This window comes from Homo sapiens, chromosome 1 (genome assembly GCF_000001405.40).
Source record: "Homo sapiens chromosome 1, GRCh38.p14 Primary Assembly".
NCBI lineage: Eukaryota > Metazoa > Chordata > Mammalia > Primates > Hominidae > Homo > Homo sapiens.
Window position 1 is genome coordinate 75,918,631 of NC_000001.11, and position 14,063 is coordinate 75,932,693.

At 35.0% G+C, this 14,063-nt stretch overlaps 1 protein-coding gene across 3 annotated transcripts; it reads right to left on the minus strand.

Annotated features, from left to right (window-relative positions):
• Window positions 1–242: 242 nt before the first annotated feature.
• Window positions 243–13,774, minus strand: ASB17 (ankyrin repeat and SOCS box containing 17). 3 transcript variants are annotated; one of them, NR_026546.3, is made up of 3 exons: window positions 13,261–13,774; window positions 3,450–3,667; window positions 243–528 (listed from the first exon to the last, which is right to left on the minus strand). NR_026546.3 is itself a non-coding variant. In XM_047445206.1 (3 exons), the coding sequence occupies exons 1-3, from the start codon at window positions 13,659–13,661 to the stop codon at window positions 322–324; spliced, it is 654 nt and encodes a 217-aa protein (XP_047301162.1). In that variant the 5' UTR covers window positions 13,662–13,774; the 3' UTR covers window positions 243–321. The 3 variants fall into 3 exon arrangements, 2 of the variants coding, with proteins under 2 accessions (XP_047301162.1, NP_543144.1); XM_047445206.1 differs by having other exon boundaries at window positions 3,450–3,729; window positions 13,495–13,774; NM_080868.3 differs by having other exon boundaries at window positions 3,450–3,729.
• Between the last annotated feature and the right edge of the window lie 289 nt (window positions 13,775–14,063).

A 14,063-nucleotide genomic window follows, 5' to 3' on the forward strand; every position in this document is an offset into this window, starting at 1 on the left:
GTCTGAGAAAACTCTACTTTTTAAGATAAGTTTCGTCGTGATGAAAGAACATGCAGATTGAACTGATATTTTCATTTTGATGTAATTTGGATGAAAATAGTTCATTTCACTTTGTGTAAAATGCATATAATTTATTCCATTGTATAGAAGTAATGGGCAGAGTCATGTATTGATTAAAGTGATCCAATTAAGATGTTGTGTGAAAATATATTTTCTAAATGAATGTTTAATGCAATAAAAACTTACATGAAGTGAATTTTTATTAACTTCTAAGCCATACATTGGTAAGCATTGTTAAGGAACTTAGGACACTGACGTATGTTAGATTTCTAAATTCAGATAGTTTTGTAGACGAGCAGGAATTAGAAGTGAAAATATTCCATCTGGGAGCATATTGTTGGTTAATAGTTGATTCCTGATGGTTAGTCTGCAAAGATGTAATAGTTCACATGGATCTTTGTATCTTGTTGAAGGAATGTAATCAAACCAATTTGAAATAATTGGATGTCTTCCTAAACTCAGCTGTGTCTGAAGAAAAGCAAAATATTTTACTTTTGTAATGTTTTGTAATTTGGATTAGTCCAAATTATTAAAACTTATTTTTAATTTAAATTTAGAAAATAGACCATAAATTTATAAAACCCTTATAACTTTTTTCCAAAGCATTTTTACTTGAGGCAAGTATTTTATTCCCATTTTTTTCCACAGGGATAAACTTCAAATAATCTATATGTCTAAGGACACAAGGCAACAGTTTTTTTTTTTATTATTATACTTTAAGTTTTAGGGTACATGTGCACAATGTGCAGGTTAGTTACATATGTATACATGTGCCATGCTGGTGTGCTGCACCCATTAACTCGTCATTTAGCATTAGGTATATCTCCTAAAGCTATCCCTCCCCTCTCCCCCTACCCCACAACAGTACCTAGAGTGTGATGTTCCCCTTCCTGTGTCCATGTGTTCTCATTGTTCAGTTCCCACCTATGAGTGACAATATGCGGTGTTTGGTTTTTTGTTCTTGCGATAGTTTACTGAGAATGATGATTTCCAATTTCATCCATGTCCCTACAAAGGGCATGAACTCATCCTTTTTTATGGCTGCATAGTATTCCATGGTGTATATGTGCCACATTTTCTTAATCCAGTCTATCATTGTTGGACATTTGGGTTGGTTCCAAGTCTTTGCTATTGTGAATAGTGCTGCAATAAACATATGTGTGCATGTGTCTTTATAGCAGCATGATTTATAGTCCTTTGGGTATATACCCAGTAATGGGATGGCTGGGTCAAATGGTATTTCTAGATCTAGATCCGAACAAGTTTTTAATTTTAGTTGGATTGTACTTTTATTTTATCAACTTCTTCCTGAAGAGTAGTAACGGTCAACTTAGCCATATAGAATTATCTGGGAGACTGTAAAAAATACCAGTGCTCAGGCCCTACTCCACAAATTCTGATTCAACTGGTCTGGGGTTGGACACAGACAACCTAAGTCCTAAAAGTTTCCCAGGTGATATCAACCATTGTAGAGTAAAGCTTCATACACAAGAAGGCCTGACACAGGCCTGTCCAAATGAAAAGATGTCTTTTAAAGGTCTAGAAAGGCATCTTTTAAAATATTTAATCTTACGGATCAAATGTTAATAGATTGACTTAGGAGGAAAAAACATTGCTGTATTACAGAAATATTCTCCACTAGAACATATACTCCACAGGCTACATGATACTATTGTTTATCTATTACTTGTATAATGCATTCATTATTCAATTATTTAACTATTAAAGAGTATATGCTTAGCATTGTGATAGGTGCTTGGGATAATTTGCTAGGGTAGGTAAAATAGACACATCCTCTGTGCTTACAAGACTCACGGTGTAGAGGTAGAAATATCTAAACATATATTTACAATAAAATATATGTGCTGCGATAGGGAAAACTACTGGGAAGTGTGGAAATGCAGAACAGAGGTATTTAAAGTGTTCTTTAAGCAGTTTTAATGCTATTCTTTATCTTCCTGCTCAATGCTATTTTACTTTATTAAACTGCAATTGATTGGAACCCAGCTATAAATTTTTTGCCACTTAGGCAGATGATTTTGGTCAACTAACTCACTCTGTCCTAGTGCTTTTCTTTTCTTTTCTTTTCTTTTCTTTTTTTGGAGACGGAGTCCCGCTCTTTCGCCCAGGCCAGAGTGCAGTGGTGCGATCTCTGCTCACTGCAAGCTCCGCCTCCTGGGTTCATGCCATTCTCCTGCCTCAGCCTCCCGAGTAGCTGGGACTACAGGCGCCCGCCACCATGCCCAGCTAAATTTTTGTATTTTTAGTAGAGACGGGGTTTCACCTTGTTAGCCAGGATGGTCTCGATCTCCTGACCTCGTGATCCGCCCGCCTCGGCCTCCCAAAGTGCTGGGATTACAGGCGTGAGCCACTGCGCCCGGCCTGTCCTAGTGCTTTTCTACTAGTGTTGTATCTCAGGAATAGCATTCATGGAACTGGTTGAGAATTGATATGTTCTGTAACAATTATGCAGAATTAATACTGGACCAAGGACAAGCAAGTTTCTGAAAATGCAAAAAAAAAATTTGTTTTAAAAATGGGCTGCCAAAATAATTTGATAAATTTGCTTTGCTTATAGTTGGCTCAGACATTCATATTCACTGCTGAGGCACTGAAGAAAAAAAAACAGTGGAGTTATATCTCTTATGAGTTTATTTCTGAAGTCACACCCTTAAAGATTAGGGGAACTACTGGATTCCTTGTTAATTTGATTGGTTTAAATTTATAGGGGTAGCTTTCTCTCTATTAAACGGACTTCTTTCTTGCTACTAATGGGCATGATTCAATTTGATGATGACACTTGCAGTTCATTTTGACAGGGTACCCTGTATGCTGTTAATTGTTTTCTCTAAATTTGATTTATTCCAGAAACTTTGTAAAGAAGGTCTCCACATTTCTGAGGGATAGATATTTTCACTTGAACAAATATTTTAAGCCTTTATTTATATTTTTATAATGCTTGACGTTGCTTTGAGAACTTGAATGGAAAAAATCTGTTTTTTGACATATGATTGTATTTGTGGGGAGAAATGTAACCCTTATTTTGAAATATTCTGTTGGAAAGGAAGTCTGTTAAATTTTTTGATTTTGTTTTTAAAGGACAGAGACATCTTAAACAGTTTTAAAAATATAATTAGGATATAATATATATCTACTTAATACTAAAATGAACTATACATATAACTTAAAATTCTTTCATATTTCTAAAAACATAAGAAGTAAAGGACTGTTTGAGATTTTCCCTATTATTTTTATTAATAGGCATATACTCAATGATCTGTCACTGGACATATTCTATAAATTAAAAATTAACTGTATTCTTTCCTTTACAGTTGAATCTTAAGATTCACTAATATTTGAGCCCATTTTTTTTAAAGTAGTTTTCTTACCTTTATTTCCTTGACTGAAATGACAGAAAGCACTCTGGAACATAGTACCAAACATGTTTTGGCATCTTCATGGATGTCAGCCAATTCACGATCAACCATTACTCTTACTCTCGAAGGGTAGAGTACTATTGTTAAGACAATGTTGATAGGGTTTTTTTCTCTTTCTAAGATTCCATATTGCAGTAGTATTTTGAAGATATTAGACTGTCTTGTCTGAGCTACATAAAAGAGAGGTGTGATGCCACTTAATGGGCTTGGACAGTATACTGGTGTGAAAGTTCTGTGAATTAAACAAAACAAAAACTCATTGGATATAGAATTAAGAAATGTGACAAACACTTTATCTTGCTAGTAATGGGAAAATAATAGTTTAAATGTTAAATGTCTTAAATGTAACTTTATATGTTTCTTTTTTTTTTTTTTTTTTTTTTTTTGAGATGGAGTTTCCCTCTTGTTGCTCAGGCTGGAGTGCAAAGGCACGATCTCTGCTCACTGCGACCTCTGCCTCCTGGGTTCAAGTGATTCTCCTGCCTCAGCCTCCCGAGTAGCTGGGATTACAGGCATGTGCCACCACACCTGGCTAATTTTGTATTTTTAGTAGAGAAGGGGTTTCTCCATGTTGGTCAGTCTAGTCTCAAACTCCCAACCTCAGGTGACCTACCTGCCTCAGCCTCCTAGAGTGCTGGGATTACAGGCGTGAGCCACTGCACCCAGCCTATATATTTCTTAAAAGGAGTTTTCCACTCTATGAATCTAGACTAAACTGAAGGTTAAAAGAAAACTCCTACCAAACACTTAAACCCCATTTACATTGTAAAAATAAAAAAAAACAATTTATAATATATGTAAAGTGTTTACTTTTAGTCATAGCAATTCTAGTTGAGAAATCTGTACTGCTTAGGACAGTATTACAAAACTGATGTAGCTCTGGAAATAATAAAATGGAAAAGGAGGACAGAACTTTTTGATTTAACTTTATTAATAGAAAGAATTATGTGATCATTTGCATATCTTTTTGTTTTTGTTCTTCTTGATCATGTACCAGACATGAACTTGAATTGAGTTTGGAAATTAGGAAAGGAATAAATACAACTATCTTAATTCTATGTTTTTCACTTTAATAAAATTAGAGTTGGTTGGGCTTAGGAAATGTAAATTATAGTGAGAACCATATCAGGTCCCTCAAGGGCAGAATTTTTCTTCTTGAGTAAAATTTTGAAATCTAGGGAAATCTTGTTTTCCCTAGAGTGTCACATGATGGCTAGACTTAAAAATTTCTCTTCCCTTATGACAGAAATGAAAACTTTATTTTTTTAAATGGTATATACTTCTTGCAGTTGTTTCATTTAATAGACTTTTATGCTGTTATTTTGGTCAGAGTAAATATTGTTGTGGTGTCCTTGACCACAGGAGATTTTCTATTAGCAAGCCATAATTTTGCCAAGTAATATGGTTTTTAGGCTAATGAAAGAGAAATTTTATTAATGATTTTTGTCTGTGGAATTCTCTTGACTGGCCTAATAAAATACTGCAGGACAGCACACAAAGTATAAATACTGGTTTTAGGCAACTACTCAGAGCAAGGAAAGACTTATGCAAAAAGGGGAACTTTAAGACTGCATATATAGTACTTAGGTAAAATGGGAGGCAGCATGGTATAAACAATAGAGACAAGTGTTCTAGGTTCTAAGTTTTAGCTCTTTGAATTGGCTGTGTGATTTTGAGCAAGTTGGCCTCTTTACATCTGTTTCCACAAGCATTTATGTACTCATCTGCTTATTCCTTCATTACCTAATTTATTTAATACTTGCTTGCCTAGAGTGTACTGAGAAGTAGATACACAGAGATAAAAGATATAGTTCTTGACTATTATAATCTAGTAAGGAAAACACAAGAAATTGCATAAATACAATACAAGGTGATAATCACAATGATAGAAGCATGCTCAGGGTACTATAGAAGCACTGAGGAGGGGTACTTAACTCTATCTGAAATAGTCATTTCCTATAGGTTATCCAGAAACTACGATTTGAAAGATTAGTAGATGTTTTCCAATAAAAAGATTCAAAAGAATGTTTTAGGCACAAGCATAAACCAGCATTGGAGGATTGCTATAGCAGAACTAGCTATAGAAGATAAATGTTTTATAATAGATGAGCTTTTTTCAAACTATTTTTGAAGAATCTGACAAAACTAAGAAAAAAGAGTTTTTCTGGTTGATGTCCTAGAGCCCTTACCCCCTGCTGGATCTTTGTTCAGGTCTCCAAAAAGTATAGTTGGAAAGTCACTGGACCAACTAGTTTATCTGCAAAGCTTCACCAAACGCTGACATGCCAGGATTTTGTAATTTAAAAAATAGTGAATTGTAGTGCAAAGTAGCATTTTAGAAATCAAGATGTAGTTTTTTGTCATAACTCTGTCACTGGCACTATACATACATATATGTATATATATACACACACATACACATATAGAAAGAGAAAGGATATATATGTTTGTATATACATATGAATATGGATATGTATTATTTCCTGTATCTCTCGTGGAATCATCTCCAGACCAATAATGTCATGGGCATATTATCTTTTTTACAAATACTTCCAACGCATGGAGAACTTCTAAACTACATTTCTTTCTACATTACCTATCATTGGTATGCAGTTTCCCAAACCACCACTGCATCCAGGTCTTTCACATTTCTTTACTTTGTATATGTTCTTCTCCCCTGCCTTTTTTTTTCAATTCTGCAATAAGTCTAACTCATCTTTATGAGACCTTATCTAATAAACTGTTTTGTGAACTCTTCTTTGATTACCCTGATATATCTCATACTCCTCAGGGCACTTTGTACCTACCTACATTAAATTTGTATCTTTTGGAAAACTTATTTAACACCTCTAAACTTTCATTTTCTCTTCTTCAAAATAAATGGATAAGCAAAACAATCTACAAAAGTGGAAGCCTCTAAAAGATAGTAATTTCATCTTAGTTCACTATTGCATATTTAAGTGCCTAGAACAATGTTTGGCCCATATTACGCACTCAAATATTTGTTAATTGAACTTTTTTTACTGAAAATTTTGACTATATATATGTCATAGTAAAAAATTCCCTGAGTTTATCCTGTAGCTTTCAGGTCTAACAAGATTTTTGTTGATATGTAATCACTTAAACTTTTCAAAGGCAGTTTAATGTATTCATCTTGCTTGTTCTTAAGAAAATATTTGACTTAAGAACCTTATAAGTATGGGAATTCTGGAGACTCAGGGGGCAAAATATACCATAAGTGGTCATTATTAAGATTTAGAGATATTTGTTGATTCTAAGATATTAAGATTGACATTACCTTTAGAAGATAATGAATACTGAAAAATGTTGAAAACATGACTAAAACCCAAATAGGTTTAAAATGAGATTTAAAAGTCTAATCTGTACCCAAATGACATATGATTAATCCTCATGTTTAAAGAGTATGTTACTGTAAACCAGAATTTGCTTAATCTGTACTGACAGTTAATTATAGCAGTACTTATATGGATGAAGTGCAGCAAGCAAAGCAAGAATTAGTTTTTAAATGTGAGGTTAATGAACTGAACTCTTGGTATCTGAAAACCTGTCATAATGCTTATGAAATGGGGCATAATATTTCCATACAGACATGCAGAGAATTATTCAGTTTTTTAGCTATAATTATTTCTAATTTTTTTCCCTTCTCATTCTCCTTCAATTTCTAGCTGAAAAATTTGATAGATGCTTCTCCAGAATAATTTTACATGTGTGATATTTCACACAGTTGACTTTCTTAAAACTATGTTTTCCTTTTACTCAGTTGGGCTAGTCTCTCCAAGTTACCCATTCATCTCTTTGGCTATTTCTCCTCAACTGTCTTTCACTGGCTCCTCTTCCTCTGCCCTCAACATCTAAGTAAGTATGCATGGCCTTTAGACCAATTTTATTTGGCTATTCCCAGGCAATTTCATTTATGACCATAACTTCAATTCCTGTCCATTTATTTATTTCAACAAATACTGAATGCATACTATATGCCAGGAACTGTTTTAGGTGCTTGGGATATATCAGGAAACAAAATAAAGATCCTTACTATCTTGCTTATATTATAGTGAACGATTAACAACAATGTAGGATGAACACAGTAAACAAGCAAATTTTATGTTAGCAGGTGATGAGTGCTTGGAAAAAAGAATAAGTAGAGCAGAATAAGAAGTATGGATATGCTGTGGGCTGGTACGGTCAGGGCATTTTTAAATATTAAATAAGATGATGGAAGAGTACATTATTGAAAGATGACATTTGAACAAAGACCAGAAGGAGGTGCGGAAGTTAACCATTTGGATATTTCAGGGCCCTATGGCGGGAGACTGTGCCTGGAGTGATGAAGGAAGAATAACGGAACCAGCGCGGCTGAAAAGAGGACAGAGGTAATGGGATGCCACATTATTTAGAGCCTTATGGATCACTGTAAGAACTTCACCTTTTACTCTAAACCAAAAGGACAAGCCATTGGAGGTTTTGAGTAGAAGAGTAGTGTGATCTGCCCTTTGTTGAGAATTTGTTATAGAAGGAAGGAAATCACTTAGCTTGGAACATAGTAGTGGAGACAGCCAGATGCTGTACATTATTTGCAGGTAGAACCAACAGATCCCAATATAGACGTGAGATGTAAGAGAAACATTAAGGATGGCACTGTTTATCTAGCCACGTATTGCACATCTCTACCTCGATATCCATTAGGCAGTGCAAACTCATATGTCTAAAACTGATTTTATAGGTTTTTTAAAATATTTTATCTCGATAAGCTTGTATGACCATTTTGGTGGGCTGAATAATGGCCCCTCAGTATGGCAAATAGGATTTTGCAGATATGATTAAGATCTTGAGGTGGGAAATTAACTAGGTGTGCCCAGTGTAATTGCAAGAGTCCTTATAAGTGCAGAGAATGTTGGAAGCAGAGTCAATGAATAAGATATGATGATATTACAGTGCTAGCTTTGAAGATGAAGAGGCTATCAGCCAAGGAATGTAGATGGCCTCTGAAAGCTGGCAAAGGCAAGAAAACAGATTCTTCCCTAGAGCCTCCGTAAGGCACTGGACCTACTAACAATTTGATTTAGCTCTATAAGACTCATTTTGGACTTTTGAACTCCAGAACTATAAGAACTAAACTATAAATTTGTGTTGTTTTAAGCCACTAAGTTTGTGGTAATTTGTTGCAGCAGCAACAGGAAACTAATACAACTTTCGACCACTCTCAAAATTTAGAAATCTGAAGATTAACTCTTTCTTCTCTTAGATCCTCCAATTCTGATCACTTACCGTGTCTTGTAATTCTGTCTAAAAATCTCTCTCCTTTCTCCCACTGCTACTGTTTTAGTTTAAGTTCTCATAATTTGCCTGGACAGTTGTAGTATCAAAGGGTGAACAGAGGTTGGGAGGGATGTTGGTAGAAGAGAATTAGTTCTCCCCTCAAAACTATTATAAATACACATGTAAACTAAGTACATGTACTATGCATGCTATGCAAATTCAGCCTCAGGGACCTTCTCTAACCACCCCCCTTTAAAAAAATTAGATCACTTTCCCCCCAACTCTTCCCACATAGAACATTGTACTTGGAGTGCTTGAGTAGTCTACTAACTGGTTTCCCTGCCCTAGCTGCAGCCTGTTTTCCCAAAATCCAATCTTCAAATGGGGCTGATAAATCTTTTTAATTGTACAAGTTGATTGACCTTCACTGGCCAGGCATTACCCATGGTGTAAATTTCATGTTCCTCACTCTGGCCTACAAAGTCCTTCATTCTTTCAATTCCAGTCTTCATTTCTCTTACTACATGATTCCTATCTCACTCTCTAGCTATTACTAAACTGCTTGTAGTCATTGGATACAACAATGTTGTTTGTATCTCCCTTAGTTTCAGTAATCCTCCTTCTATCTAGATTACATGTCTTCAAGGGAAAGAAAGAAGAAACTCTTTGTTATCTTTTAAAAATCAGTTTAAGACATCACCTATTCTATTGAGCCTTCTCAGATACCTACTCCTCCCTAATGGTGTTAACAATTTCCTTCTCTGCTCTCTCTACCTGTGCATGCTTCTATTTTTGTACCTAGAGTGTGGCTATAATTGCTGTTTAAATTTATGCCTCACTTACTAGTATATGAGCTCTCTAAAATCAGGAAATGTGTCTACTTTGTTTTTGTATCCCCAATAAATAACATAGTGTCTGGCACTTAAAAAATGCTTAATATTTATTATTGTTATTTGAATGGAATGACATCTCTCTTTAGCCACCTACAATCTGTCACACTGTGGCATTTAGATGTTTTTTGCAGATTTGTGGTGAAAATGAACAAACTTAAGTTTCTTCCCCTCGTTAATTCTATCTCCTCTCCTCCAGGGAGATATAATAGGGAAATTATCAAATTAGAGTCTAAACAAGGGAGGATGACCAAAGAATGATGTTGTCGAAGTAAAGAACAACAGATAATAGGAAATTTGGGGTATTCATTATGAGGACATAATAGATGTGTTCAAATACTTGAGAAGTTTTCTTTTAGAAAAGAGAGTTAGCAGACTGATCTTTATAGCTACTTGGGCAGGGTTGGAGAAATGCAAGACTTCAGTGCAGTACAGGAAAGAAGAATCAAATAAAGCTGCTTCAAAATTCACTTACTCATTCAACAAAATCTTGATTGAGCAGTTGCTACGTATCTGACATAGTTCTACACACTCTATCCGTGAGGATAGATAGTGAGCAAACCAATGAAAAAGGAACAACAGTAAATAAACAGGTCAGTGATCAGCAGGTGCAGAGAATTAAAGTAAACTACTGTAATGACTGAGTGGCTTCTTTAGATTGTGTGAGTAGGAAAGGCCTCTTTGAGAAGATGGTATTTATACTGTGACCTAGCTGATGAGGAGGAAGGTCCAATTGAATAAATTTTCAGGCAGAGGGAACAGTATTATGAGGCCTTATGGCAGGAATGAACTTGAAGATGTTCAAGAAACAGAAAGGTCTTTGTGGCTGGAATATAGTGTTCAAAAGGGAGAGTAATACAAGATGGGGTTTGGGAGAAATACAGAGGGACCTTTCATGTAGGGTTTTTATTTTTTTTTATTTATTTATTTATTTTTTTTTATTTTTTTGAGACGGATTCTCGCTCTGTCGCCCAGGTTGGAGTGCAGTGGCGCGACCTCAGCTCATTGCAAGCTCTGCCTTCCGGGTTCACGCCATTCTCCTGCCTCAGCCTCCCGAGTAGCTGGGACTACAGGCGCCCGCCACTGCGCCCAGCTAATTTTTTTTTTTTTGTATTTTTAGTAGAGACAGGGTTTCACCATGGTCTCGATCTCCTGACCTCGTGATCCGCCCGCCTCAGCCTCCCAAAGTGCTGGGATTACAGGCGTGAGCCATCGTGCCCAGCTTCATGTAGGGTTTTTAAAAAAGGGGTATTGTTTGAATGTTATACCCCTTGTATAAAATCACTGTAGTGGAAAAACTGGAGGATTTTAACTATGGTTGATATGAGCCATTTTGTATTTTTAAAAGGTCACTCAGGCTTCTGAGTCAATAACAGATTATAGGAGTTGAGAGGGAAGAGTGGAAGCTGAATGACTCTTTAAGAGTCTATTGCAGTTTTCTATGCAAGAGGTGATGGTGAGTTCACCTAGATTTGAAACGAAAGAGATGAAAGGAGATGAAAAGAAAAAGAAATGATTGGGATATGTTTTGGAGATAACAGGACTTACTGATGTGTTGAAGCAAAGGAAAGAATCAAGAATAAATCCTAGATTTCTGCCTTTAGCCACATGGTAGAGAAACAGGTGCTGTTAATCGGGGGTTGGGGGGAATTCTGGGGAAGGAGAAGGTTGGCAGAGAGGGGGGGTGAGTTAGATCAGTATTCCGCTTTGTTTCTATTCAGTTTGAGATGCCATGTGGCAATGTCAATTAACTAAATATAGAAGGGAGTTCAGAGCTCAGAGGCAAAGTCAACACTGGGGATAAAGATTTTGAGAGTCATTGGCATATACATCATATTTAAAGTCATATGACTATATATTTATATATTATATATATTCAAATATTTAGCTATATATAACCAGTTGTATTTATTTAGTTATATAACTATTATATGACTAGTTATATTTATATATTTATATAACTAGTTATATTTATATTTAGTTATATATATAAAACATATATAACTATATATAACATGTATATATATAACTACATATAAATATAAATATATGTAAATATAAATATAAATATATATATATATATAACACTAGGAAAAACAAGGACCCCAAGGCAAAGGAACGGTTTACCTAAGGAAATAGTTAACTCACTACTTCTAGAATTGTTTAAGAAGAGACCAGTGAGCATCGACCAGTTGCTGTCCAGGGTAAAGGTCTGCTAATGAATTCTCAGGCTCCATACAAATATAAAATTCTATGATTCTGAGAGGTCTAAGTGATGTTGCGATCAGTAGAACTGGCCTGTAATGGGTTTTACCTTGTGGATGCATCTAAGTTGAAATTGATTAATTTTAAACCTGTCTTAAGACAGTTGTTAATGGCACCCTATCATGTTCCACTGTGTTTCTCTTTGTTTCATTTTCTGTCCAGCTTTCTCCTCTCTGCTTCCATTTTTAATTTTTAAAAATTTATTCTCTCTCCCTCTGTTTGCCTCAATTTTTCTTTCCCGTGGACCTTCCAGGGCTGTAGACAGGCACTATTTAGCCCAGCTAGTGACAGTCAGCTTTAGAAGATTTGCTGATCTCTGCTGTAGTTACAAATATAATGGTTACTTAAAACACAAAGTACCATTTGGTAGTTTTGTTTATTGTTGTTTCCAAACTACAGCTATCAGTTCATGTACTTTAGTAATCATTAAGTAATGAAATCCAGTGGTTCTCCGATACCATAGGATGCACAATCAAGAAAAAACTCTGCTTTAGGCAGAATCTAAATTGGTTTAGTCTTTAACTGATCTTGTCCATTTTGTTTTTCATTGCATACATGCATTTATATTGCACCTAGTACAGACTTGCATACATAGTAATGTGATTAATAAATATTTTGCTGAATGAATGAACACATGAATGTTTTATTCAGATGAATATCTAAAACGAAAGAATAAATTAAAGTTAGTGCAAACTAGGTAACTTTAAATTCTATATTATGGACTCTAAAAAGAGGATACATTGGAGATTTGATTTTCATAAGATCCTCAGTAGTATGCATTAGGTAGATTGACATGTGAACACTATAAAAATTTGGTTCTATTATCGATAGCATCAGGTACTTGACCTTCATTGTGCTCAAATTTGGAGAATTTGGAGTCTAATTTATAAATGTTTAACACACAAATAGGGAACTATTGTGTTTAATAAGTATTACTATGTGAAGATGTGTGCATGTTCCCAATTGTACTTTGAAAGTCAGCTTATAAACATATATAAATATAAAACCATAGGATTCGCAGAAATAGGAGATCATAGTATTACACAACATAGTGTCTTTGTTTAGTTAGAGAAACATGTTGTTTAGCACTAACATGTAAGCTGTGTAGAGCAGAATCACTAATGATTTATTGGTACATAATAATTTACATATAAATAAAAATGGAATACATAATAAAAGAGTGAAGGAGTGAACACGTGGTCAAGCAATTAGGTGAGAATTCCTTACTTCACATATAGCCACTATACATGTGAGTTTTAGAAAAAAGAAGCACTCTACTCTCGTAAAGATAAATTTTCTTGTTCTATAGTGAAAACATATGAAATTATTACCTCCATATCAGTGCCAGGTTACAACTTCTGTCTTGAACATAGTCTTTTGTCTTCTTGAGAAGCAATTCCACAAAGTCAGGATTACCTTTTCTGGCAAAAACCCAGTACAGAATTGTATTCACACATATTTCAGTGAAGTCGAGGTTAAAACTTACTTCAAAACGGTATCCTGATTTTTCCACAAATGCAATGTAATCTGTGAGTAGTGCGTCAAAACCATCCAAGTCCACATACCTCAGAATTTTTGCCAGTGATCTGTAAATCCTTGGTTCGTAACAGTGATATCCCCACTGACCCAAAAACTGTAGGGAGGGTCTTTTAACAATTTTGTCAAGGAGATTGCAGAATATATTGCTTCTTGGACAAGAAGTCTTACCACATAATTTAGTAGATTTACTCATTGTTACTTATAGCAGCACTGTAGAAATAAAATCAGAGGTAAGCATACTGTAATCCTCCAGTTACATATTTTGACAATGTGGCAGGCTTTACTCCACAAACAGAAGTGCCCTTTAAACTGTAACCAGAAAAAATAAATATTACCATAAAGTACTGGATGACATCACAATAGGTGGAGATTCCTCCACAATAGGTAGAGGTCACCAGCATAGGTCAGAGGGGATATTGTATGTAACTGGTGACATTTGAAAGAGACATATTGGACAGAAATGACATACGTGAAAGCTAAGATACAATATATTTAATTTTCTAAGAATTCAGTTCAAGGTAGTCTGCCTGGTTTCTCAAGTTCTGCATGTTTCTTCAGTAGACTAAATAATGGTAATAAATACATTGATTATCCT

What these genes read in the sequence shown, in the direction of transcription:
- ASB17 (NM_080868.3), bottom strand. Translation starts at nt 13,661, where the DNA reads ATGAGTAAATCTACTAAATTATGTGGTAAGACTTCTTGTCCAAGAAGC. An exon ending in AACCTGGCACTGATATGGAG is followed by an intron (nt 3,730 to 13,260) that starts GTAATAATTTCA and finishes TTTAATTCACAG; the next exon opens with AACTTTCACACCAGTATACT. An exon ending in TTTCAGTCAAGGAAATAAAG is followed by an intron (nt 529 to 3,449) that starts GTAAGAAAACTA and finishes GCTTTTCTTCAG; the next exon opens with ACACAGCTGAGTTTAGGAAG.